This window comes from Homo sapiens, chromosome 21, assembly GCF_000001405.40.
Source record: "Homo sapiens chromosome 21, GRCh38.p14 Primary Assembly".
In the NCBI taxonomy this organism is placed as follows: domain Eukaryota; kingdom Metazoa; phylum Chordata; class Mammalia; order Primates; family Hominidae; genus Homo; species Homo sapiens.
The window spans coordinates 14,273,799-14,301,468 of NC_000021.9; the positions used below are offsets into that span (position 1 = coordinate 14,273,799).

At 37.0% G+C, this 27,670-nt stretch overlaps 1 pseudogene across 2 annotated transcripts, besides 1 other annotated feature; it reads left to right on the forward strand.

Moving 5' to 3' along the window:
• On the forward strand, nt 1-27,588 carry ABCC13 (ATP binding cassette subfamily C member 13 (pseudogene); annotated as a pseudogene). 2 transcript variants are annotated; one of them, NR_003087.1, is made up of 6 exons: nt 1-359; nt 5,798-5,859; nt 13,752-13,899; nt 14,606-14,748; nt 17,772-17,949; nt 25,640-27,588. The product of NR_003087.1 is annotated as an ATP binding cassette subfamily C member 13 (pseudogene), transcript variant A (transcript). The 2 variants fall into 2 exon arrangements; NR_003088.1 differs by lacking the exons at nt 17,772-17,949; nt 25,640-27,588 and adding an exon at nt 17,488-17,601.
• Nucleotides 7,344-8,116: an enhancer, noted in NCBI's record as "OCT4-NANOG-H3K27ac hESC enhancer chr21:15653463-15654235 (GRCh37/hg19 assembly coordinates)". NCBI's record gives its function as "activates a minimal SCP1, AML or CMV promoter by ChIP-STARR-seq in naive H9 embryonic stem cells {active_cell/tissue: H9 hESC(naive)}" and the evidence as "EXISTENCE:reporter gene assay evidence [ECO:0000049][PMID:30033119]".
• Nucleotides 27,589-27,670: the final 82 nt, after the last annotated feature.

The following is a 27,670-nucleotide window of genomic DNA, read 5'->3' on the forward strand; positions in this document are numbered from 1 at the left end:
TTCCCGTCTCCCTCCACACCTTGCCTCCTCCAGGCCCAACCCCATTCCACCAGCACCCCGCCCCAGGCGCACTGGCTAGGACTGGAAGGCAAGGACTAAGGTGAAAGCTGACTGCCCGCACCGCCCCAGGCGCACTGGGTAGGACTGAAAGGCAGGGACTAAGGTGACAGCTGACTCTGCCGGGGCGGAGTGCGTGTCCTCCCACCGTGCTGGCGCTGAACTGACTGTCCGCTGCCAAGGGAAGTGACAGCCGCAGCCGGGCTCTCAGCCAGCGGCCAGGCGCCCCGCGGACCATGCTCTCCAGTACGCAGAACGCGGGCGGCTCCTATCAGCGGGTCCGCGGGGCGCTTGATACACAGGTAAAGTTCTCTGGTCCTTAGGGGAGAGGAGAGGCGGGTCGTGGGGACCACTGTGGGTGCAGGAGTGGAAGTGGGGAGAGGTGAGTCCTCGAACCCTGAACGTGGACGGACGAGCCCTTGTTTCAGTAGCCAACACACACGGGACAGACAGACCGGCGTACACACTCAATCCTCAGAGCAGAGATCAGAGATCAGGGTAGGTGCAACTTGAACCAGAGGAGCTCAGTCTTGGTAGGGCTGGAGGAGAGGAAGAGGCATCTTTGTTTGAAGAGATAAGTAACTCCCCCATAAGCAGAAAGCGTGGATGGGCCTGTCATCGCTGAAGGAACACAGGTTGGAGCAGAATTCTACTACCATTGAGTGATCCCATTAAAACCGCAGAGCATTGGGGATTAATAACACTCAGTGTGGATTTTGGGACCCAGGTCTGGGGCAAATCCAGAAACTTCAGACACTTAATTGTGCTCTCCTCTGGCGCACTATAACTCATGCTTCTACAATGGGAGTCACGTGCTAAGGCGGTAGTCAGAGAAATGAGCCCTACAGTTGTTGTGTATTAGCAACAATTCCCCTAACAAAAGTTCCATTTGTTTCACTTATCATCACTATACAAGACATGGACTTAGAAACAGCCCTGTTGTCCTAACAAAGAAAAAATATATAATTCCGATTCAGGGGACTTGTTCTAATCCTGGCTTTTTTAGTAACTCTGAGTGTCAAATATATGTGACATCTATTTTGATCACATACAAAATCAAACTATAAATTTATTTAAAATTAAGTTATATGTAAAGTACTTTTATAAAAATCTATAAGATAGAAGGGCTGAATAAGTTCCTTGAAAATGTGAAAAAGCTCCATCACTATAGCATGCCTCTTTTTACTGTACCGTAGAGATGGCAGGCTCAATTGCGCAAACTGGTTTAATATCATTAGTGTAACAGCCAAGGTGATCAAAGGCAGTAAATTATAAACTTGTAGTTGAAAAATTATAAAACTCAATTTTGTCACCCCAAATTTTAGTCGACTCTTCCTTTAGTATTCAAACACCGTTTGTTTCCTTGATTATTATTCAACTTTGATAGCCTTCATAGATCAGGAATCCACTTAAACAAGGTTGAAAATATTCATTTTAATTTCATTCTCTATTTGTTATTTCTATGATGGCAATTTTTAAAAAAAGTTGGTGGTAGCCAGGCACAGTGGCTCACGCCTGTAATCCCAGCACTCTGGGAGGCCAGGCATGGAGGCGTGCTCATGCAGTCCCAGCTACTTGGTGGGGGGCTGAGGTGGAAGGATTACTTGAGCTTGAGAGATTGAGGCTGCAGTGAGCCATGTTCGCTCCACTTCACTGAAGCCTGAGCAACACAGTGAGACACTATCTCAAAAAAAAATTGATGGCTTCAAAATGTATAAAAAAACCTCTGTTTACTTACATATTGACTTCATATTTTTAATACAACAGATCTCAGGTAAAAATCCCTATGTAACTATAAGCTAAGAACATACCTTTTTAATTGAATTTTTATGGCTAACATGGTGACTGTGAATAGATTCTTCTAAATATTTTTTGTTGGTAGTGATTAGCATCCATCCATTCATTCAGTCAGTCATCCGAAACATGTTTATTATGAGCTGGCCCTGGGCCTTGAGAAACTGGAGATTTCTCCAGAAGCTAGCGATACAGAGATAAACCAACTATAGTTTCTGTCTTCCAGCGACACTAAATCTAGTAAGAGAGAAGCACCTTCCAGGAAATAATGAGAGAGTTGGGTAATATGAGGGTAAATTCTGTGAGTGCCAACCTGAAGGAGCCCTTAAGTCCTCCCTGAGGAGTATGTTAAAGTTGCTCTGGTAATACAGAACGTGTTTCAGAGCCTTGGACTGGAGTGAGAGGACAGAAATTACAAAAGACACTGAAACCTGAATAGGATTGAAGCACAAAAGCCAGGAGAAGGGAGGCAGAAGGATGTGGGCAGTAGGAAAGGTCTAAGTAGTGAAAAACAGTGTTGCATGGGTACAGAGTTGAGAGTGTGGATTTAGAACTGGAGTATAGAATAAACTAAGTGGTTTAGATCTTGTTTCCAATACTTGGTTGCAAGATCTTAGGCGAGTTTCTTAAACTCTGGGTGTTAGTTTCCCTTTCTATAAAATAGGGGTGACAGAAATTATTCCACCATAAAGGTATTTTACATTTAGTGAAATAATATACTTAGTACAGAATTTAGCATCTTTTAAGTGATTAAAAAAATGTAAGTTTTATCTGTCTGGGCACCATGGCTCACACCAGTAATCCTAGCAGTTTGAGAGTCCAAGAGGGGTGGATCACCTGAGGTCAGGAGTAAAAGACCAGCTTGGCCAACATGGTGAAACCCTGTCTCTACTAAAAATACAAAAATTAGCAGAGCCTGGTGGCAGATGCCTGTAATTCCAGCTACTTGGGAGGCTGAGGCAGGAGAGTCGCATGAACCTGGGAGGCAGAGGATGCAGTAAGCCAAGATTGCACCACTGCACTCCAGCCTGGGTGACAGAGCAAGACTCCATGTCAAAAAAAAAAAAAAAGTAAGTTTTTTTTTTTTTTTAATTTCCAGAAGTGTTCCCTTCTCCATGAGCATCTACTTTCATTTTCCAGTAACTTCCTCCACTATTCCCAAAATCCCCCTATAAAATCCACATAGGAAGCTTCTGAAATTAGGCATTATGGGATATCAGTAAACACAGCAATCTGTCACACAAACCGTATTGCCATGAGGTCACATCTCAACATTAAACCCAAGGAAGTTTGAAAACAGTACACTTCAGAACCCCAGCTGTGCTATGATCCAGTGGTCTAAATACTTATTGTTTTCTGCCATAAACCAGAAGTAACAGGACCTCCATTCTAGTGAAAATTGCTCTTAAGTCAGCAATGTCAAGGTATGTTTATGGAATGCCTACTATAAGCTCAATAGTAAATAAATACAATAGATAATAAAACAGCTTAAACAAGGTCTGTAGTGGACATGGGGACACACGAAATGAGAAACTCACTTGGGGTCAATTATGTCAGCAGACCAGAATTGCTGTCAGATTGAGAACAAATGAGTTAGAAAGATGATAAATATTTAATGGAGAAGATGGGAGTAAATTAGAACATTCAAAGATACTCAGAATTGTCATGTTCTATTTTTCTACATAGAAATTACTATGTGCAATATATAATCAACTCAATGAGATCCATGATATGAATTCAATAATTATGAATGTATTGAAAAGTCATTTGCACATTCTTGGTGCTTGGTAAGGATTAACTCCCTTCATCAGACTTTTTTTTTTTTTTTTAAACCTGGCTGCTATTCCTTCTGGGAAGTAAAGTATGGTTGGACTTTACTGTGCTTCAGCATAAGATACCTGGTTCACATCTAAGGAGGCTATGTACCAGAAAATATAAAGGGCGTCACATAAGATGCTTTCACATGAAAAAATGGTCCTAGAGGGAATGTTAAACCAAGTACCGAGTTCTTAGTCTGCTAAAGTAGCCATCTGCAGTAGCTTTGCAAGGCTTAGGTGCCTCAAACAACAACCATGCTATTTAGTTAATTATTCTTTGGGTCAGTTGGATTGTGTCCTGGTTTGGGTCAGTTTGACGGATAACTCCTGCGCTCTTTTATGCATAGGATTGTTGCGAGAACTAAATACAATGACAGTAATTCTACAATGATTGTAGAATCAGCTGGCAGATGGGCTGGTAGGCAGATAATCTAGAACCACGTTATTCCTATATCTGGCAGTTTTCAAGCTATTGGCCTGGTAATAGACCATCAGATGAGTGCCTTAGTTCTCCTCCACATGATCTGTCATCCTTCAGCAGCCTAGCTCCAGCTCAGTCACATGGTGCACTCAGTGTCCTAAGCGCAGCAGGAGCCAAAGCATTAAGGCTTCTTGAGGCTTAGAATTTCAATGTCACTCCTGTTGTATTTCTATGACCAAAACAAGACACAATGTCAGCCCAGATACAAGGAATGGGAAATAGATTCCACCTCTTGATGGGAAAAGCTGCAAAGAATTGGTAGCCATTTACAGTTTTCCACAGAAATATATGTGTTTCGGCTATCAATCCGATCCTTTCATTGGTAGCAAATTATCACATTAGCAACTCCCTGTGAAATTTGAACTTATGACATAAAATATGTCCTCCAGGTTAATTAGAGAATTTTTAGAATATTTTTTCCAATAATTTATGTACTTGTTTTTTAAATAATATGTTGGTAACAATAGTGATGACAATTTTATTGTTCATATATTTGAGTCATTGTTTTGGGCTAATGGTGTGATAAGTATTTTATATTTATCATTATATTAGTTCTTGCAACAATCTTATAATGATAAATGCCATTTTGGTAAATTGTGTATATCTTAAATGATTTATACTATATAATTTGTTATAACACAGAGAACACATTTGGCGTCAAATACATTTTCTCATCTCTACTTTGGGCATTTTGTTGTATACGATGAAATTTGGATTTAGTCATTCCTTCTAGCTTCAGAATTTTTTAAATTGGTAAACACTGATTATGGAATCAGAACTGAGTTAGAGAAGATCACTAGGAAATTTCTTAAATGTTGGACAGTTTCTAAAAATCAAAATTAACTTGGTGACCAGTCTTACTTTTTAAAATGCAAAGAGATTGATGCTGACTATAAAAACATAAAATGGTTATTTTTGAGTCCTCTATTTTTAAACCTCTTTTCTCTTGGTTAAACCAACACAGTAAATGGGAAAACTTTATGGAAATGTTAAAACCCACCCCAAGATATCGTGTAATTGTGACAAATATGTAATTGTGTATATAATTTTTAAAATATGTAAACACACACAGAAGTATACCAAATAACTATGATATTCTCTTTTCTATTTTTCAGAAAAAGAAAACTATCTTTAGCAATTTAGATGCTTACATTTATCTTATATATACATATACATATATAATACATATGGGTATAAATTATTCACTTATACTGTCATATAATTGTGTTAATGTAAATAGACAATATGGGCTAAGTTCAAAGAACTGTCCCACTGTATGTGTACATATATATGTATATGTATGTATATTGTATATGTATATATGTATACAAATACATATAATTGTAAATTTACAGTTCTAAAATCTCTCTATGTATGTATATGTACATATACATACAATTTTCCTTCCCAACATGATTTACTGCTACATGCACCATCGTAATATTGAGAGAAATCTTGAAATTCCTCTAGTCCAACCACCATACAAGAATATCTTCACTTAACTATATTTCTTAAGAATTATGATACCAACATATCCGTAACTCTTAGTAGAATAAATCATGTCAGATTTACCCCTGACAAAAAATATTTCAAATATAAATTTAAAATATTTACTTTATACACTACTCTCTATATTTTTTCTTTTCAGAAATGCAGTCCAGAGAAAAGTGCCTCATTTTTCAGTAAAGTGACATATTCCTGGTTTAGCAGGTAGGAATTTTACTAATATATTTGTAGTGTACCACACTGAAAAAGATCCCAAGGGAAATGACACCTGAATTTCCTTTAATCTCAAAGTGAATAGTTGTACAAAGTTGTCTCATATTACTTATTACACAGAAATCACAGGTAAAAACATACTAAATAGTTCCACAGATAACAGTACTAATATTCCTCCAATATGTCTATATCTTTGTCGGGTTTTCATCTCATTACCACTAGGGAAGAACAGAAAAATGAACTTCTTTTTTAGCATCAAGTATATGCTATCCACTTTGTGTTTATTATTTCATTTAATTCTCCTCCAAGTGCTATGAGAAAGGCATTTGCATGAGAAAAATTTAGGCTCAGGAAACGAAAGCACCTGTCCATTGATACCCATGTAGGAGTAAGTATGTGTCTTAAACCAATTTCTGATGAGTTCATGTTTCAAGCTTTATTTTTGCTATGTCAATCTACTTTTTATTAGAAATGCTCTCTTTTATACTAATATATGCTATTATTAAAAAACACACACACACAGCCCTAAGCATTTTATATGACATATATTATGGTTTTTCTCATAGAATAATTCACCCATAACATATGTTGAGGGCTCAGAATTTCTTCAGGAGATACCATTGTGAACTCTGATTTTTAACACAGAAATTAAATGGTATTGAATGGGAAGAGTTGATGTTTTCTTATTTTATAAATTCAGAAGCTTTCTTTAGAAATGTATTTCTTTTTCCCCCATAACAGAAATTCCATAATAATATGAAGTTAAATTTGTGTTTCTAGCTTTATGCCCCTTGCTCTGCAGTTCACAGAAACAAAACTGCTCAATTTTATCTACAGATATGTTCCCAAGAGTGGATTAATCTTTTAAAAAATGATTAGGTACTAGATACCCCAAACTCAAATAGTCTTTAAAAATGCAGAGATAAATGAGTTAGTTTCTGTCTTCTAGGAATTCATAGTAGAATTAAAAAGATTAAAAAGTATACCACCATTACAAAAAAAGGGAAAAGGCAACATAAGCGTAATTGACAAACACAAATTTTCAGTAATATCATCTAATCAAGTTTGCACAATTAGAGACTATTTCACAGATACCAATGCTTTCACTTAACATTTAAAGATGTGTAGGAGTGAGAAACGTGGTATCCCAAATTGAGCAAATACTATGTGAAAACCATACAATAAAAGGTGGGAAAGAACTGGCTGTGAAGTTCAGATGTGGTGAAAAACTGTGGGTTCAGACTGAGAAATTTTTAATTTTTGAGATACTTATTGAAGGGGTGGGTTGCCCCTCCACACCTGCGGATGTTTCTCGTTAGGTGGAACGAGAGACTAGGAAAAGAAAGAGACACAGAGACAAAGTATAGAGAAAGAAAAAGGGGCTCAGGGGACCGGCATTCAGCATACGGAGGATCCACGCCGGCACCAGCCTCTGAATTCCCTTAGTATTTATTGATCATTATCGGGCGTTTCCCGGAGAGGGGGACGTGGCAGGATAATACGATAATAGTGGAGAGAAGGTCAGAAGGTAAACACGTGAACAAATGTCTCTGCATCATAAACAAGGTAAAGAAAAAACTGCTGTGCTTTTGATATGCATATACATAAACATCTCAATGCCTTAAGGAGCAGTATTGCTGCCATCATGTCCCACCTCCAGCCCTAAGGCAGTTTTCCCCTATCTCAGTAGATGGAATATACAATCGGCTTTACACCGAGACATTCCATTGCCCCGGGACGGGCAGGAGACAGAAGCCTTCCTCTTGTCTCAACTGAAAAGAGGCGTTCCTTCCTCTTTTACTAATACTCCTCAGCGCAGACCCTTTACTGGTGTCAGGCTGGGGGACGGTCAGGTCTTTCCCTTCCCACGAGGCCATATTTCAGACTATCACATGGGGAGAAACCTTGGACAATACCTGGCTTTCCTAGGCAGAGGTCCCTGTGGCCTTCTGCAGTATTTTGTGTCGCTGGGTACTTGAGATTAGGGAGTGGTGATGACTCTTAACGAGCATGCTGCCTTCCAGCATTTGTTTAACAAAGCACACCCTGCACAACCCTTAATCCATTTAACCCTGAGTGGACACAGCACATGTTTCAGGGAGCACAGGGTTAGGGGTAGGGTTACAGATTAACAGCATCTCAAGGCAGAAGAATTTTTCTTAGTACAGAACAAAATGGAGTCTCCTATGTCTACTTCTTTCTACACAGACACAGTAACAATCTGATCTGTCTTTCTTTTCCCCACACTTATGAAGCATCACATGTACAGGAGTTTGGATATGTGGCTTCCAGGCTTAGAATAAACCTTTGACTATAGATATGGATTTGGGAGTCACTGACTAGAGGACAGTAGTTGAAACCATGCGTATGAATGAGATTGCCCAGAGGAAGAACCTATTGAATAGGCTGAACAAATGGAACATTGGTAATCCTCAGTATTTAAATGGCAAGAGAAAGAGGAGTCTACAAAAAAAGCTAAGTAAAGGTGTTCAGAATATATTATAAGAGAAGTATCTGATGAAATAGTATGAGTGACAGGTAAGAAAAGAGAAACTGTCAAGAAAGGAGAAAAATAAAGTGGTCAATAGGGCCAAATACTGCAAAGGGGTGAATTAAAATAATAACTAAATATTCTCCATTAAATTTGGCAACATGAAGATCACTGGGGAGTTTTTCAAAGCAATTGAAGTAGAAAATGTATATACTTGTGAGCAAATACTTGGGCAGAAGGGGTTAAATTGTGATAAAATTTCCAAGTTACACAAATCTAAGAATCTCTTAAAGAGGATGGCAAAACTATGTAACATTAAGCAGCACACTAGAAAAGAGAAAGCATAGCTAGAAATGTAAATGTGAGCTATTTACAGTTAATGATTTTAATGCTTCAAATTTGTATAGGTATAGAAATGTTTTCCAAACCTGAATTTTGTTTATGGGGGAGTTGAGAGGAAGAGTGACACCTACCCCAGCTTTAAAAAATTCCAGTCTCGGGCCCGGCGCGGTGGCGCACACCTGTAATCCCAGCACTTTGGGAGGCCTAGGCGGGCGCATCGTGAGGTCAGGAGATGGAGACCATCCTGGCTAACACAGTGAAACCCCGTCTCCCCAAAAAAATATATAAAAAATGAGCTGGGTGTGGTGGCGGGCGCCTGTAGTCCCAGCTACTTGGGAGGCTGAGGCAGGAGAATGGCGTGAACCTGGGAGGCGGAGCTGGCAGTGAGCTGAGATCGCGCCACTGCACTCCAGCCAGGGCGACAGAGCGAGACTCCATCTCAAAAAAAATAAACAAATAAAAATAAAAAATAAAAAATTCTAGTCTCATTTTAAATCCATAGGTATCACAGAATTTAAGTAATGCAAATAAAATTAATTTTAAATAAATGTAGTTTTAAACTTTGATTATCAAACTATAAAAACTATATGCATATGTATTAAATATTGCAAACATTATTTTAGCATTCCTAAAGACGCTGAAATTAAATTTAATAAGCAAGATAAGACATAGCAAATCTTCAAATATGACAACCTAGTATTTTGAAATCCATATCTTAAGTCAATCAAACAAACCATCAAGCTCTGTGAATATCACATTTATTTTCTGTTTAATTTGAATATCTCATAATTAGATACAAAATATTTTCATAGGATGTTGTTATCCAGAACTGTCATTGGCATGGATCTAATCTGATTTCTTATGTGGTGACTAAACAATTGTATTTGAAACCTAACTATTGTTTAAGAGAATGTCCCTTTGAAGACAAAGATTAATTGTATTCTCCTATCTGTTTTTGGAGTTACAGAATAGTGTCAAATTATTTCCTAGAACAAATTCAAGCATCAATAATTGTATGAATAACTCAATTAAAATGTGCTCAGATGACACAATAATTACAAAATTATATACTTATGAGCCTTAATTCCTAAGACAATAGCTATCTAGATCATTCTGATGATCAAATAATTACCAAGCCTTTATTAGCAAATATAATCTGTCACCAGTGTATAATAATCATGGCCAGAGATATACATGGAAAAATCTAGTAAGAGTTTTCATAGGTCACAATAGTGTCATTATTTTAACCAGATACACTATTCAATATGTCCTTTTTCTCACATACTAAAAAAATTTGTACATTAAACAACTTTCTCCCAACCTATAATTTTTGGCCAGATTGATTTCTTTCCTTTTCCCATAACATAATACCTCTTTCCAGAAATGGTTTTTTGTTTTGTTTTGTTTTTGTTTTGAGATGGAGTCTTGCTCAGTCGCCCAGGCTGGAGTGCAGTGGTGCGATCTCGGCTCACTGCAAGCTCCGCCTTCCGGGTTCACGCCATTCTCCTGCCTCGGCCTCCCGAGTAGCTGGGACTACAGGCATCCGCCACTACACCCGGCTAATTTTTTTTTGTATTTTTAGTAGAGACGGGGTTTCACCATGTTAGCCAGGATAGTCTGGATCTCCTGACCTCGTGATCCACCCGCCTTGGCCTCCCTCCAGAAATGTTTTAAAAGGTTATTTATAGCAATAAAATTGATAATGCTACTATATATTTGTACTTTCTAAGTATTCAAATATTACTCATCTATAAAAGTTATATTTCAGCTCATCTTCCTAATAGAATGCCACTGTTTTTCTATTCTGTTCACATGAGTTGGTTGAGATATTTATGCACATTTAATAATTCTAAATATAGTCAAAATTCTCTCTAAGATAATAAAATTTAAGAGTGGAAATTGTATTAGTCAGTTCTCACGTTGCTATGAAGAAATATCCGAGACTGGGTAATTTATAAGGGAAAGAGGTTTAATTGGCTGACAGTTCCACAGGGCTGGGGAGGTCTCAGGAAACTTACAATCATGGCAGAAGAAGCAAACACGTCCTTCTCCACCTGGCAGCAGGAAGAAGTGTCAAACAAAGAGAGAAAAGCCCCTCATAAGACCATCAGATCTCATAAAAACTCGCTCACTATCATGAGAACGGCAGCATGGGGTAACCACCCCTATGATTCAGTTACCTCCCACCAGGTCCCTCCCATGACATGTGGGGATTATGTGAACTGCAATTCAAGATGAGATTTGGGTGGGAACAAAGCCAAACCATATCAGAAGTAATACATTTCACTGTCTGCTTTTTGCTAAGTTAGCCCTGGTTTATTTTACATACAAAACACCATCACCAGTCTCTGAAGTTCTTAATGTTTAACTGCCTGTAAAAATGAGAAATTAATCCTGCTCTGCCAGCTTTGGGGAGTTGTGAGAATCAAATTCATTGATGTGAATGTCCTTTGAAAAGAAACATCATTCTAAAAATATGAGATACATGTGTAAACTGTATTATCGTTTTAGGAATAAAGCCCACAGGTTGATGGGACCTAGTATGTGTTACACATTTCACTTACTGAGAGGGCCAACTCTGGGTCCTCATTGTTTCCCAAAAAGCTGCCTCAACATTTGATTTAAATAAATACCACTTCGTTATCACTTCCTTGCTTATTCTTTTTCCAAACTCTTGTGTGGGAAGGTAAGGCCAGCCATGTGATCAGAGTCTGTTAGAAGAGAGCAAAAGATAGTGGAGGGGAACACACATCTGGGAAAAAAGTCAAGGTAGTTAAACCACTAAGCCATGAGAGTCACAATCAAGTCAGCTTAAGTGTCACTTTTAGATGCTGCATTATTTGGGGACTCAGCATGAAAGCAAGAGGTCACTTTTCCCTGAACCGAAACCTCTGAGTTTTGCACAGTTCTAACTCAAAATGCTGAGGCAGTAAATGTTATTAAAAATGCTTTTCTAAAAGTCAATGCAGTCTTATTTTGAAAATGAATATTTATTTTCTGGAATGAAATAGAACTTAATATGACAAGAAAGTAGTTTATTGCTTAATATGTTTTTAAAAGTGCACTGCAGGAAAATGTCCAGCATATTTGAGCCAACAGAAACATGATTACGGAAAATCCCTTCTTATTACATTTAAACCTTTTTGTTAGATATGAATTGTGGTAAGATATTATGTATTATACTAAAAGTAAAATAAAATCTAGTGGAATCTTTTGTTACCATAGGGTTTAAATTCATCCCAGAGTCAATCAATTGAGATTATTTAGTAACAAGGCCAATGAAAGCAGTCCCAATTTGGAGTAGTTTAAGGCATTGTTACCGCCTCTTCGGCTAATACACTTTATATGGACAGAACTTAGGCCAGTCAGAAGGCCTGGATTTAAATATGGGTTTAATTTCTTATTGAACAAGTCATGTCACCAAAGTCACAAACTATATCTGATTTAAATCACTTCAGAGTGAGTTTAGCTTCAAGTAACAGAATAGCCAGATAATAATAGTTTAAACAAACAAGTATTTATTTTCTTATGTTATTGGAAAGAGGGTGTTACTGGAAATAAGTTGTTGAACTATTGCAGAAATGTTACGAAAGGCCCAGGCTAGGTCGGTCACAGTGGCTCACACCTGCAATCCCAGCACTTTGGGAGGCCAAGGCAGGCTGATTACTTGAGGCCAGGAGTTCAAGCCCAGCCTGGCCAACAGGGCAAAACCCTGTCTCTACTAAAAGTAGAAAAACTAGCCAGGAATGGTGGTGTGTGCCTGTAATCTCAGCTACTCGGGAGGCTGACGCATGAGAATTGCTTGAACCCAGGAGGCAGAGGTTGCAGTGAGCAGAGATTGCTCCACTGCACTCCAGCCTGGGCAACAGAGCAAGAGTCTGTGGGGAAAAAAAAAAAAAAAAGGCTCAGGCTTTTTTAGTCTTTCTGCTTCCCATCCTTATTATTTGGCTTTTTTATCCGTAGTGGCAAAGATGGCTTTTATATCTCAAAGCATCATGGCTTCAAAGGACAAAAGGGAAAGAGAAGGGAGGCAACATGTTTTCTCCTTTTGAAGTTCTGTGCTTTCATTTGAAAAAGAAAGTTCTTCCTAGCAGATATTGGCTTGGGTATTGTTAGCCATAACTCAGTTATATTATTAATCCCAAGCACAGGGTAATGAGAGTACCAGGACTGGTTTAGATCAATTATAATTCATAACTCTGTGGCTAAAATAAGACCTTACCATGAGTTCAAGAGATTTTCAACTGAAGAAATATCAGATCCCTGTTAGCAGAAAGACGGTAGAGCAGAGCTAGAGCTGTGGGTAAGTACAATTCATTCTCTCCCACAGTAACTTCTGTGGTAAAACTACACTATGCATCTTGTTTGCCTCCCAGTTTAGACCCATTGTTCTTGCATAATTATTTGCAGTGTCACCTGGGATAAGCTCATTGAATGGAGAAGGGTGGAAAAACTAAGAGGCTGGTGGAGACTTGCCTTGCTTCTTAAGGCATCAATTCAGAAACTGCACTCTCACATTGGCTCATATTCTGTTGGTCATAAGGCCAAGGCCAGAGCTTGTGGGATAGGGACAAGTACTCCACATCCAGTTGTACAATCTATAAAGTCAAGTGGCAAATTGTACAGAAAGTCCTAGTAGAACAGAAGAAAATTGCAAATGCAGAGGTTGGATTTGTTTTCCCTCCAATAGAAGCCTAAAAGCCAGTTTGGGTACTTGAGTGGTATGGGTGATATTCTACTGGGAAAATTTGCTATATAAATTTTAATGAGCTGAGTGGTACATTTCCCAAATATAAGATGAATAAATGAAGTCAGTGTTTCACTGAATAATTGGATGTCTAAACAGCATTTATAAAAACTATAAATGATTATTGCACATTATTGACCTCCAGGATAAAACTGTATGATTTGTTTAAACACATAATCTAGTCATTGTATTTTAATCAATAAAATAATGCAAAAATCAAAGAAAGTAATAAATGTATGACAATTTATTTTTAACTAGATTATTTGTTTTGCTGTCTTGTTTACCTTACTTTTTCATCTTTAGAGTAATTACTTTAGGCTATAAGAGACCTTTGGAAAGAGAGGATCTTTTTGAACTAAAGGAAAGTGATTCCTTCTGCACTGCGTGTCCCATCTTTGAAAAACAATGGAGAAAGGAAGTTTTAAGGAATCAAGAGAGGCAAAAAGTAAAGGTAATTAATTATGAAGTTCTATAAACTCCTGAAGTGATTACTGCCTGACAACTAGATAAAGCTTTTTTCAAGTATGAGATACTATTATTAATATCGAAATTTGTAAAATGTGTGAAATGACAATCTATTTTTATAAGCATAATTTGTTGCTATTGCAGCCCATTTCTGTCTTCAAACTACTCAACATTCCTTCTCTTTAATGTTCAGGAGCAAATGTGTTGATATGCATGTATATATCTTTGGCTCCTTACCAGTGGTGACAAAGATAGCTTCTGTATCTCAGAGCATCATGTCTATTGGTCAAAGCAAATTATATGGTGGCCAAAATTGAAGTTTATGGGAGCAGGAGCAGACACTCCACCTCTAGCATCATATGCATATATATTATTTTCAGACTTCTCCAAAAGAAAATATAATTTGGAGATAAAAACTGTATTTATGTTAATTAAATAGTTTCAAAACTCACAAAAATAATAAAATGCAACTATTGCACTTGTCCCTTTATGCCATGTGGTATAAGTAACACCACCTACCATCTCAATGATATGGGTCATAATTTCAAGTTTAACTGATTTATTCCTTTCTTATTACCTTATTGTCTTTAGAGCAATATTGTTAATTGTATAAGTAGTTTAGTTATATTTCATTTTATTAATATTAGTTGTGTCCAATTTTCTCATTGTGTCTATTTTCTTTAGTTATGTAGGTATCTTGTTATAAAGAGGCACATATCAAGAAACCATCTCTACTCTATGCATTGTGGAACACCTTTAAATCCATCCTGATTCAAGTTGCCTTATTCAAAGTGTTTGCTGATATTTTGTCCTTCACTAGCCCACTCATAATGAAGTAAGTTAAAGTCTGGTGGGTTTTTTTTCCCTCCTCACAGATAAATGAAAAGTAAGTATTCTAATATAAAAGTTCTAATACAAAAGAGTAGAGAAGGTTCTTATTGCAAATATTATTAGGATGTGGACATGCTATTAGGGTTATCTACAATATAAATGGGAATTAGGATAATATAGTCAATATCTAATAAAGTCAACCCTGTACTAAGCACTGCTCTAAAATCTTATATTAATTTTATTAAGCAAGGGTTCGCCAGAGAAACAGAACCAATAGGATATATAAGCCCAAATAAGAGGGGATTTATTATGGGAATTGGCTCTCGCAATTATGGAGGCCAAGAAGTCCCACAGTCTTGCATTTGCAAGCTAGAGACTCAGGAAAGACAGTGGCATAATGCAGTCTGAGTCCAAAGGCCAGGTAACCTTGAGTTCTGACGTCCACGGGCAGGAGAAGGTGGATATTTCAGCTCCAGGAAAGAGAGCTAATTCACTCTCTCTTTACCTTCTTGTTCTATCCAGGCCCTCAACAAATTGGATGAGGCACTATGCCCTGGGATCATCCTTACTCAGTCTACTGATTCAAATGCTAATCTCTTCCAGAAACAGCCTCACAGACACACCCAGACATCTGGTAGATGGTAAAACATTATTTAAATGTTATTAAACAGAAATAATGTTTTACCATCTCTTCACCAGTCAAGTTGACACGTAAAATTAACCATCACATTGGTAATCTCATTTAATCTTTACTACACTCCTGCAACATAGACAGTATTATTACATTCAGTATTACAATGGCAGAAACAGACAGAAAGGGTGGAGTAATTTGTCCAAGTCCCCACAGCTAGAAAGTGCCAGAGTCGTAATTGAAATCTAGGAAGTCTCGCTTGAATGTATGCGATACATATTTTCACTACGATACTTAGTTGTGGCCTTTTGAGAGTTGAGCTTTAACAGCCATGGCAATTACACACACACACAAACATACACTCACACACACAATTACTATGTATAACATATATGAACATATATTATTATTACCTAATATATGTATATTTCTGTGCATCTCTATATCTAGATATGGACATAGTAAAATGACTTGAAACATTTCTATAATATCTACCTGCAATGGTTTACAGGCAGACAATGAAATTGATCTTTTGACTGTGCCACCTTTTTCAAGGAAACCTTGACTTATACCTAGCTGTCATATGAAGGAAATGCAAAGAAACATATATTTTATTAACTGGTGATTATATTTTTACTATTGAAAAATTTCCAAGTTGTTAGAGTTTTTAATAACCATTTAATTCATGAAAATATCATTAATCCTGCATTACTTAGATCCCATATGATATTCAGGAATATATTCATTCAATATTTATTGAGCACCTATGCATGCCAAAACTGTTCTAGGTCGACTGCGGGGACAGAACAAAAATCAAAACAAAGAACCTGCTCTGATGACACTTAGAGGGGAGAGATGAAAGCCAAACAAATGAATAAACATAAATGATACCATCAGTGCTTAGGAACAAAGTAAAGTAGGGTAAGGGAATGCCAGTCTGAGGAGTTAGAAGTTACCGTTTTATGTAAGGTAATTATGAAAGACATTGGTGATAAGGTGACATTTGGTCACAGTTCTGAAGGAAGTTAGGGAGGAAGCCAAGAAAATATCTATTGTGATTAAAGGTAGCAGGAAGGGCAAAAGTCATGAAGAAGCTCATGCTTGATATCTCTGAGGGCCTGCAAGGAGGCAAAGTGAGGTTGGAGCAGAGAGCTGGAAAGGTAAGACTGAGGTCAGAAAGGTGCAGAGATGAAAAGATTTTGAAGGACCTTATGAAATATGATGGGAATATTGGCTTTTAGTCCACATTAGCAGGGAAGAATTTGGAAGATTTTGAGCAAAAAAACAATGATCTGCTTAGACTTAAGTCTTATAGGAATGACTCTGGCTGCTATGTGGGGAATAAAATCAAGACGTGCAAGAGTGGAAGAAGAAACACCAGTTAGAAGTTTGTTTGCGATAATCCAAGCAAAAGTTAATGGTGGCTTCAACTAGGTAGTAGCAATAAGGGTGATAAGAAGTGGTCAGACTCTGGTTGTGTTTTAAAGGTAGAGTTAACAGAATATACTGGTGGACTGAATGTAGGTTGAGAGAGGAAGCGAGAAGTTAAGGATGCCTTCAAAATTTTTGTTTAGATCATCAGGTAAATGAGTCAGCATATCCTTGTAGTATGTCACAGTATACGCCCAAATTGTTTTCACCATATTGCATGTGCTATATAGCCTTTTAAATTTAACACTATTTTCAGTCGCATTGATGCAGTTTTAAAAAGGTGAAATCATGCTTAAAATATTATTACCAGTGAACATCAGGCACTCTGAGTTTTAGACAATGTTTATAGTTGAGGGACTATCAGCCGAGATACTTGTAATTAGAACCATCCCCACTGTTTTTCTGCTCCCCAGCATTGGCCCTAATCATCCTGATCATGCTGTCACAAACTTAAGAGGAAATAAGGAAAAGGAGAGAAAAAAGAAATTGGTTATGAATAAAAGTGACAATAAAACATGAGATATAAATCAAGCTTAAAAAAAAAAAGCAGCACCTGTGGGCCATACTAAAAGATCCCCTACTTACGTTCTGGTTGTCATGTTTCCCTGTATTTGATAAAACACATAATTTTGAGAAAAATAAAGTTTTAAATGTATCTATGTCTCGACTTTTCTGATGAAGTTATACCAGAAAAGTTAATTATTTGATGGGCCTGCCATGTGAAAACCAGAAAATAACCTCGTACTCACAAGCCAGTGGAAGGGATTCCTGATTTTACTAAAAAAAAAAAAAAAAAAGAGAGGGCGGGGACAAATATCAAATTAAGCAAGTAAAGAAAAAGAACAGGTAAGAGTGTGTGTGTGTGTGTGTGTGTGTAACACTTTGACAATACTAAACTCTCATAAGCATTTAACACTTCAGATGTTTAACATTTCTGCCCCTTTCTCAATTTTTATGACGTGCAGGCAAATTATCATTTTCTGTGAACACAGCTCAGATTTTGGCTGGAATGGCTATGGCTATGCAGTGGCACTTCTTGTTGTAGTCTTTTTGCAAACTCTGATTCTTCAGCAATATCAACGTTTTAACATGCTCACCTCAGCAAAAGTTAAGACAGCTGTAAATGGACTGATCTACAAAAAGGTAAAAATTCCAAGGAATCCCCATTCCTGGGTGGACTACTCCCTTATGTGCTTTAAAATAAGGGGGCTAGAAAAATAGGGGAGTATATCAAAAAGTCCTTAGGAAATCCTTTGTATATACATTTGTTTTGCTTTAAAAGAACTTTGGCTCATCGATACTGGTTGCATTAATTTCTCTTTAGTACATGTTCTCTCTCTCTCTTTCTCTCTCTCTGGTCTTTACAACTTCTAGTCAGCCCTAATCCATTACATTAAAGATAATCTTTGTTTAATCTTATGCCACCTAACTGCTACTCACAAAGTGAGTGGAATTGAATATTTTCATGGTTTTCTATATGTATGCATCAATAAAAGCTCTCCTTTTCACAATATTATTTTCAGTCTTCATATTACCTTTTCCTTTCTCCTCTGGGAACTTCATTTTTATGCAATAAAGTCACTCATTTTTATACTGTCATTCCCCATTTCTCTCTTATTCTAAGTCCTGCCTCCCAAAGTTGGCTGATCTTTATTCCTGGCATAACCCTAAAGTTTAATTAGTCCTTTTTTTAAACACTACCTCTTTACCATGGAGGGTCTTTTATTTACAACATAATTATAAACAGTTAAAGAGCTTCCTCCCGCCCCTAGTTATCAAGTAATTATCCCAGCAACAAGTGTACTTTGTTCCCGCTTTGCACTCTGATTTAAATTGTAGGTTCATCAGGATTTGGAATAGAAATTTATTTAGCTGTTGTATCCATATCATACAAGACAATGACTTTTATACTTTATTAAAGTTGGATTACTGAATGAATGAATGAATGAATGAACAAGTGAGCCCCTGCTTTCCAAATAAATTGAGGGAAGTGTTAGCATACATAACAAACATGTGGAACTAAATGCAGATTTTATAGGAGATCAGATGAACAGAAAATCTACAAGGGGTTGTACATAGTTAAGGAAGTTTTCACATAGGAAGTCTTGAAAAGGTCTTTGAGAGAGCTATTGACTTTGTGTAAGGGGAAGGAAGTGTTATAATTTGGGCTGAGCTGGACATAAAGCATTACAGGCCATTTTGATCTTTGGGCCACAATGGGGGCATGAAGTGGTTTTATGGATCTTGGAAAGCCAAGTACAAATTGAGCAGTAAATGGTAACTGAACTTGCAGCAGAGTTTAGCTCTGTAGAACTCAGTCCACATACAGGATTAGAGGGGCTGTCCCAGTCCTAATTCTAGAGGCAGTATGTGCTGCCTCCAATATGGAATAAAGATACAGAAGAATCTAGAAACTGGTTTGAATGCTAACACTTGTTTTGTTATATAGTCCATATGGAACAGGATTTTATTCCATGATTAGAGCATTGGAGTTTAGACATGAGATGTAGGTGGATTTACAAACATAAAAGACTAAACTGCCATGAAAGAGTGAATGCAGAAGCATAAAATGTGGAGCACGGATCACTTTCAGAGCAATAAACCACTCTGTGTGATAGTATAATCGTGAATGTATGTCATTATACATTTGTACAAACCCACAGAATGTACAACACCAAGAGTGAACCCTAATGCAAACTATAGACTTCGGGTGATAATGATGTGTCAATGTGGTTTCATCGGCTGTGACAAATGTACCCCTCTGTGGAGGATGTTGATAATGGGGGAGGCTATGAACATGCAGGATAAGGAGTATATGAGATTTCTTTGTACCTTTCTCTCAGTTTTGCTGTGAACCTAAAACTGCTCTAAATAAAAGCAGTCCTTTGTAGGGGCAGAAAGGTGTAATACCTCTTTTCATCCATCATAAGAGTTGCAGTGGACATTCCTATAGCAAAAGACAGGTTGAAAAGAGAAAAATAAAACAAGTTAATTTAATTAAAATTTACTTCTTCAGAAGTAAGACCCAATGATCCAGGGAAAACTGTCTATTCTTATGCTTAGGTTCTATAGAGAATAGACAGCAGTGTAGAAATGTGATCAGACAAAAGGGTGTGATCTAATAGTAAGGGACTGAGAGGAGACACCCAGCATGGCCTTTCCATTCAAATTCTTCCTGGCCTCTCTGTATAGTATTCCTTTCCCTGGATATTGGATAGGACCCTTCTGGAATGATGGTCTTCAAGAGAGACGGGAAAAAGTGTTACCTTTCTAAGTTAAATGAGGCTTGTTTGAGAGGGGTTCTAGTTCTGTGACTCACTTTTGGAAAAAGGAAAGAAAGAGGAGTGGGAGACAAAAGGGCTGGAGAGGGTCAGAGAGACTTTGCTTCTGAGGCCTTCCCAATGTTCTTCAGTTCCAAGTGCTCAGCATGCCAAGGTGCCACATTTTGGGGTATCATGTTCTGAGTCCAAACACCTTAAATGTAAAAACAGAATGGACTGAAGTAGAAATTAGAGCAAGCTGTTAGAAATTAAAAAGAGAAACAAGTGTCATCATTGAGTCTTGCAAAGTGGGAATAGTGACTACAGGGGATAGACCTTGTATAGTTCCTTAAAGATTGTTTAAGATTAAGGGACACTGAAGGATCAAAGGAGTATTGCTATCAAGCCTACTCTGTGGACCCTGTAGTGGATATTACAGTGTAACAGGAGACACAAGTCTCTCTCCATGAGGTGAACAGGGATTGTTAAATTTCCCTTCTTCTTTATAGGTTTTAGAATTCCAGATGACTCATACTTCTCTGAAATTGGCCATACTTCATCAGGGACTTGTGACTAGAATAGGGTAAAGTTGGTCTCAGGTCCTTTTCTTGGTGAGGGGTTGTATTAGTCTATGTTCACACTGCTATATAGATACTATCTGATACTGGGTAATTTACAAAGGAAAGAGGTTTAATTGACTCATAGTTCTGCGTGGCTGGGTAGGCCTCAGGAAGCTTACGATCATGGTGGAAGGTGAAGGGGAAGCAAGGCACTTCTTACTTGGCAGCAAGAGAGAGAGGGAGAGCAAACGGGAAAGTGCCACTTTTAAGCCATCAGATCTCATGAGAACTCACTCACTACCATGAGAACAGCACAGGGGAAACTGCCTCCATGATCCAATCACCTCTCACCAGGTCCCTCCCTCGCCACATAGGGTTTATAATTCCAGATGAGATTTGGGTGGGGACACAGAACAAAACTATATCAGGGGTGCAGGTATCAGGATGTGCTTTGTTCCTTATCCATCCACAATTACTAGTGTAAGTTTGGAATAAAGTTCAGGGAATATCATTTTTAGGTTTGCAAGAAAGAACATGGGCCTCCTTCCACTTGATGACTTTAAGATTCTGTGGATCTCAAAACTCAGATTCTGTTACCCCTTAGTTCACAGGTTCAAGCTCCATGAAAATTCTTGGAGACTAAAAAACAAAACATGACTCCAAAGAAATCATTATATCAAAAAGATAACTTCACTTGTTTGTTGATCACAGCACTATTCACAACAGCAAGGATATGAAATCAACCTAAGTGTCCATCAACAGATGATCAGATAAAGAAAATGTGCTGTATATGTCTGTGTACACACACACACATGCACACACACACGCACACACACACACATACACATATATATACACACACACACACCATGGAATACTACTCAGTCATACAAAAGGAATGGAATCATGTCACATTTGCTAGATCATGGATAGAATTGGAGGCCATTATCTTAAGTGAAATAACTCAGAAACAGAAAGTCAGATACCACATGTTCTCATTTATAAGTGGAAGCTAAATAACGTGTACACATGGACGTACAGAGTGAAATAATAGATATTGGAGACTAGGATGGCTGGGAGGGTGGGTAATGGTAAGGGATGAGAAACACCATGACCCAATATAGCCATGTAACAAAACTGCATTTGTACCCCCAAATCTATAAATTAAAAATAAAAAAAAAAGAACTTTTTTTAAAAAGAAGCATCAATTAAACCTGGGTTTAATGTGGGCAGTCTGGGGGAATTCCTCCATTAAGCGTTGTCCAATAGAGTTTTTGTGATTTTTTTTAAAAATGTTCTGTATTTGCACTGTACAGTATGGTAGGCACTAATCACATATGGCTGCTGAGCCCTTGAAATGTAACTAGTACAACTAAAGAAGTCCATTTTTAATTTTAATTAATTTAAATTTTAATATAATAACCACATCTGGCTAGTGGCTACCATATTGGCTAGTATGGTGTCTACACTGTCTCCATTTGTAGTTTAAAGGTGTTATCTTACTTTAATTATGGTAATTATAAAACGCAAAAAAAATGGTAAAAATTTAGTTACATTCTTAAAGTAGAGATACTTAAGTATAGTCAGGAGAAGGAGAGACAGAATCCAAATCCTGCCCTTAGAGTCAGAAAGAGAATCTTGGCATATTTATTGGCACACAAGGGATTGAAGAATGCATTCTTATAAGTGTTATGTGCTGCCACCTTCAGCTTTACCATTTCTCATACTTCTGGTTGAAGATCATTGGGATGTGAATTTTTGGAGCCCTTGCGGCTCTACATTAAATGATGTGTATTACTTGCAGCTAGGATGGTCAGGAAAAGTGTCATGGTTAATATTGCATGATGTGGGTCATGGAATAATGGAAGGATACATTGCATGGGGTAAAGGCTCTGATGTTAGAATAACTTGGGAGAAAAAAAGTACAGAAATGCGTACAAGGCCTGCTCAGAAAATGGTGAGTAGATTAAATCGGCTTGAGACAATGTTTTATGTCCAGAATGGTGGGGAGAGATAGTAAAGGCAGAAGGGATTGCTTAAAAAAAAAAAAAAACTTGAAAGCTATATTTTTAAAATGTACCTGAATTCTATAGGAAATTGGGACCCAGCTGAGCCATAAGATGGATGATCAGGACAAAAGGATTAAAAACAGATGAGATGGGAAAGAAGGAGACCCTTAGAGCTAGTGCAATAATTGAAGAAATAAAGAAATGAAGAACTAGGGTCATGGCATGGAGTCTAGAAAGTAACAAATATATAAGAAGGAGAATGTGAAATTGCAAAACAAATTTCATCGTCAGTTCATAAAATGAAATATTAAGGACTGAACTAGTGATAATCAAGATTGTGGGGCTTGGAACTATATCTGGTTCATGTTGATTTTCTTAGAGCATAATTCAATTAGGGAAATGAATGAAGTTTTAAAAACAGATGAGTCACACAGCTTTATGTGTGTGTGTGAGTGTGTGGGTGTATTAAGATGTGTATGATATGAAAATACTGTAGAAAACAAATCTAAAACTTGGATAGAATTTTAAAGTAACAGCTTCTTAGAAAAGTGATTAGGTAACAAATGACCTGGCTAATTTTCATTTTGATTGAAGAGTACTTAGAAGCTTCCAAACTTTTAACATTGTTTTAAATTTCCTTTCTTTTATTTGTTTATTTACTTATTTTTATTTTTTATTTATTTATTATTTATTTATTTATTTATTCATTCATTTATTTATTTATTTATTTTGAGACGGAGTCTCGCTCTGTCACCCAGGCTGGAGTGCAGCGGCGCGATCTCGGCTCACTGCAAGCTCCGCCTGGGATTACAGGCGTGAGTCACCGCGCCCGGCAGATTTCCTTTCTTTTCACCTGAATCACATTTTTCCTCCTGTAACAGACTAAAGTACTTCCTACCAGACAATTCTAGAAATGTTACACCATCCGCTGTAATTGGCACATATTACAGTATTCTTTCAAGTTGTTTCGTATAACAAAAAGGCAGCTTAGATTGTATAATTTAGCAATAAATGGTAACTAAATTGTCCTTCGTGGCTTGTGAATTTTGTCTCTTTCAGAAATGTAAAGGCTTATTTGGCAGAAAAAAATATTGAAGAAAAAAAACCCAAAAATTTGAAAAAATTCCCCTAGTGTTAGAAATGCCATACAAACAACCTTCAATTATATAATACCTTTCAGTATTTTCTCTAATAGTCTAAAAGCAATTGATTTTTTCTTTTATTATTGTAAAAAAAGTAACATGAAATCTATCATTTTAATACATTTTAAGCTTAAAAAGGATTTATTGCTAACTATAGGTGCAATATATTACAGCAGATCTCTAGAACTTACTCGTCTTGGTTATCTAAAACTTTGTACCTGTTGAGCACTAACTTCCCGGTTTTCCCTTCCCCCCACCACCCTTGGAATCACCATTGCAGTGTCTGATTTTATGAAATTGACCGTTTGAGATACCTCATGTAAGAGAATTCATCCAGTATTTATTTTTCTGTGTCTAGCTTATTTCACTTAGCATAACGGCTTAAGGTCCATCCATGTTGTCTCATATTTCAGAGTTGTCTTCTTTTTTAAGCCTGAATAGTCATTTATCCAAAGAAGACATATAAACGACTAATGACATATACGTGGCTATATGTTCCTGGCTATATGTTCCACTGTGGGCCCAAACTACTATATTCCAGATGGACTTTTCCATTTTTTTTTTTAATTTATTGAATAGATAGATTTAGAGGGACTCCTGTATGTCATTTTCTCTTGCTATCCCCAACTCTCAGTCCTGTCCCTCTTTAAATCAATGCAGTGAAGATTCCATACATTTTTTGATATATAAATGAACCTTTGTCCAGTTTCCAGTAGAAATACAAATCTCCCACTACTTTTACGGTTGTTTATGTATTTCACTGGGAATTTTAAATGGAGGAATAATTAAATAAATAAATTTCTATCCGCATCTTTTGTAAAAAGTTACCAATAATTATGCTTGGGGATATTGGATTCAGTATACATATATTAAGTAGCATGCACTTGTGGAAAGTGAGAAATGGGACTTGGAAGAAAAGATGTATTTGCATCTGCTCTATGACACCTTTTCAGTACTTTCATCTCTAAGTTCCCATGGCCCTTATTAGCTGTTTTTACACTTACAGCAAAACAGAGTATGTGTGTAGATTTACAGATAGATAGTAATCACCTTGAGAAATAAAACTGTGTCCTTTTTTAATTGTCCTGATTCATTTGTGTACTTTGTATTGATAACATTTAGATGGTGTAGCATTATGGGGACAACACCAAATTGAGGAGAGCCTTAATATATCTAGAAGATATATATATATATATATTTTTTTTTGGTAATCAACAAGTTATTGAGGGTTCTTTTTTTTTCTTCAACTTTTATTTTAAGTCCCAGGGTGCATGTGCAGGATATGCAGGTTTGTTACATAGGTAAACATGTACCATGATGGTTTGCTGCACAGATCAACCCATTACCTAGGTATTAAGCCCAGTGTCCTTTAGCTGTTCTTCCTGAGGCTCTCCCTCCCTCTGCCCCCACTCCCCTGACAGGTCCCAGTGTGTGTTGTTCCCCCATGTGTCCATGTGTTCTCATTGTTCAGCTCCCACTTACAAGTGAAAACGTGGTGTTTGGTTTTCTGTTCCTGTGTTAGTTTGCTAAGAATAATGGCTTCCAGTTCCATCCATGTCCCTGCAAAGGACATGATCTCTTTCCTTTTTATGGCTGCATAGTATGCCATAAATTCTTATTGTTTGGAAACCCAAATGTTACTCTCTACCAATAAACATTATTCCAAAAGTATATACTTTAATCACTAATTATATTTCCTCACCTAAAAATCATGTCTCTTCATTTTATAATACCCCAATACATAAATAACCTTGTACACTTTCCTAATTATATTAAACATTGATATTAAAAGTTACCATTGCTTAACTATAAAGATGCCCCATAATCACAGAACTCTAAAATATTTGCTTCTCTCTTTATAGGCCTTACTTTTATCAAATGTTTCTCGACAAAAGTTTTCCACTGGGGAAATTATTAACTTGATGTCAGCAACTCATGGACTTGACAGCAAACCTCAATCTCCTCTGGTCTGCCCCTTTTCAAATCCTAATGGCCGTATATCTCCTTTGGCAAGAGCTGGGTCCAGCAGTGTTAGCAGGGGTGGCAGTCCTTGTGTTTGTTATACCAATAAATGCTTTAGCTGCAACTAAAATAAAAAAGTTAAAGGTAAGAAAATGACTGCCTCATGTTACATGTGTCAAACAGGAGCTGAGTTTTCTGACTTGAGTTAACAATCACCATCTCGCTAATTATATAGAGAGAGTTACAAATGGAAGTCATCGAATTTTATCATTTACTTATTCACTCAACCAGTATTGAACAAGCATGTATCTTATGTCAGCCAGTGTTTCAGGCACAGGAAGTACAGCAGTGAGGGGAAATGACAAGTCCAGCTCTCATGAGGGGTAGTGGAGGAGACAGGCATTAAGCAAGTACATAAATAGAGAGAAAACATTTGTATATGAAAAAGATTTAGTAAAATACAGTGATGAAGAGACAAAGGATGCCATTTTACATTTAGGATCAGGAAAGTCCTCAGAAAGGGAATGGTATATCAACAGGGTGAAGGAGTAATTCAAGTGGACATCTGAGGGAAAGACACACCAAGCAAAGGGAAGAGTATGCATGCAGCCTGGAGGTAGGGGTATGCTTGGTTGTTTGAAAAGTGAAGTACTGCAGCAAGCAGACAGGAAATGCTTCACTAAATTAATGTTGATATTCTTCCTTTATATTCAGTCATTCATCTTACCATCAATATATGTTTTGACATCCCGCCATGTGTTAGACAGTGTGCACTATGCTATACTCTAAGAAATGGAGAAACCACAGAGTTCACTGCATTGAAGGAAATCACACTGCAATGAGATAGATGCTTTCATATGTTAAATTAACAGAGGTGGATGTATTGCTTATGAAAACATTTTATAATTTTAAATGGATCAAAGATTAACAATATATATTGACATGGAAACATGTCAATCATATTTTAAAGCAAAAAGGAGATTAAATATATGCATGTATATCATACATATGTGTAGCTATATCATTGATCCATTATTAAAATGTGAATATACCTATACACATGTGTGTAATGGAGAGGTAAATAGATGAAGATACATAGCTATAAATATATTTGCATAAGCATAGAAGTAATCTAGAGATAAAGCATCAGTCTTTAAAGAATAGTTACCTGTAAAGTAGAATTAGACAGAAGGAGGATAGATTTTTACTTCTGACTTTAATACCCCAAGTGACTAAAAATTGTATAGTATTTTATATTTTTCTTAATTTTTCAAATAAAAGATGACTGGTTTTTAAACATAAAAACTAGAAAATAGCATATATTTATGAAGTAAAGGTACTTAGCATGCTAGTGTTTAGAATAACAGATTTGTTTATAACAAATATTTTTAACTAGTTTTAAAAAATATATTCTGGATTTTAAAAACTGCTATTTAAAGGCACATTATTAAGAATGGAAAAATATTTTTTGAACCTTAATCTAGAGTCCTATAACCTTCAAAGATATTTCAATATTATATCCAAATATACTAAATAAAAAATATGACTTTAGGCCCGGCGCAGTGGCTCATGCCTGTAATCCCAGCACTTTGGGAGGCCGAGGCGGGCAGATGACCTAAGGTCGGGAGTTCGAGACTAAACTGACCAACATGGAGAAACCCCGTCTCTACTAAAATATAAGATTAGCCGGGCATGGTGGCACGTGCCTGTAATCTCAGCTACTCAGGAGGATGAGGCAGGAGAATCACTTGAACCTGTAAGGCGGAGGTTGCAGTGAGCCGAGTTCATGCAATTGCACTCCAGCCTGGGCAACAAGAACAAAACTCCGTCTCAAAAAAAAAAAAAAAAAGAAAAAGAAAAAGAAAAGAAAATATGCCTTTAAATCACACACATAATACTAGTGGTATTAAATTGCACACAGAATATGACGG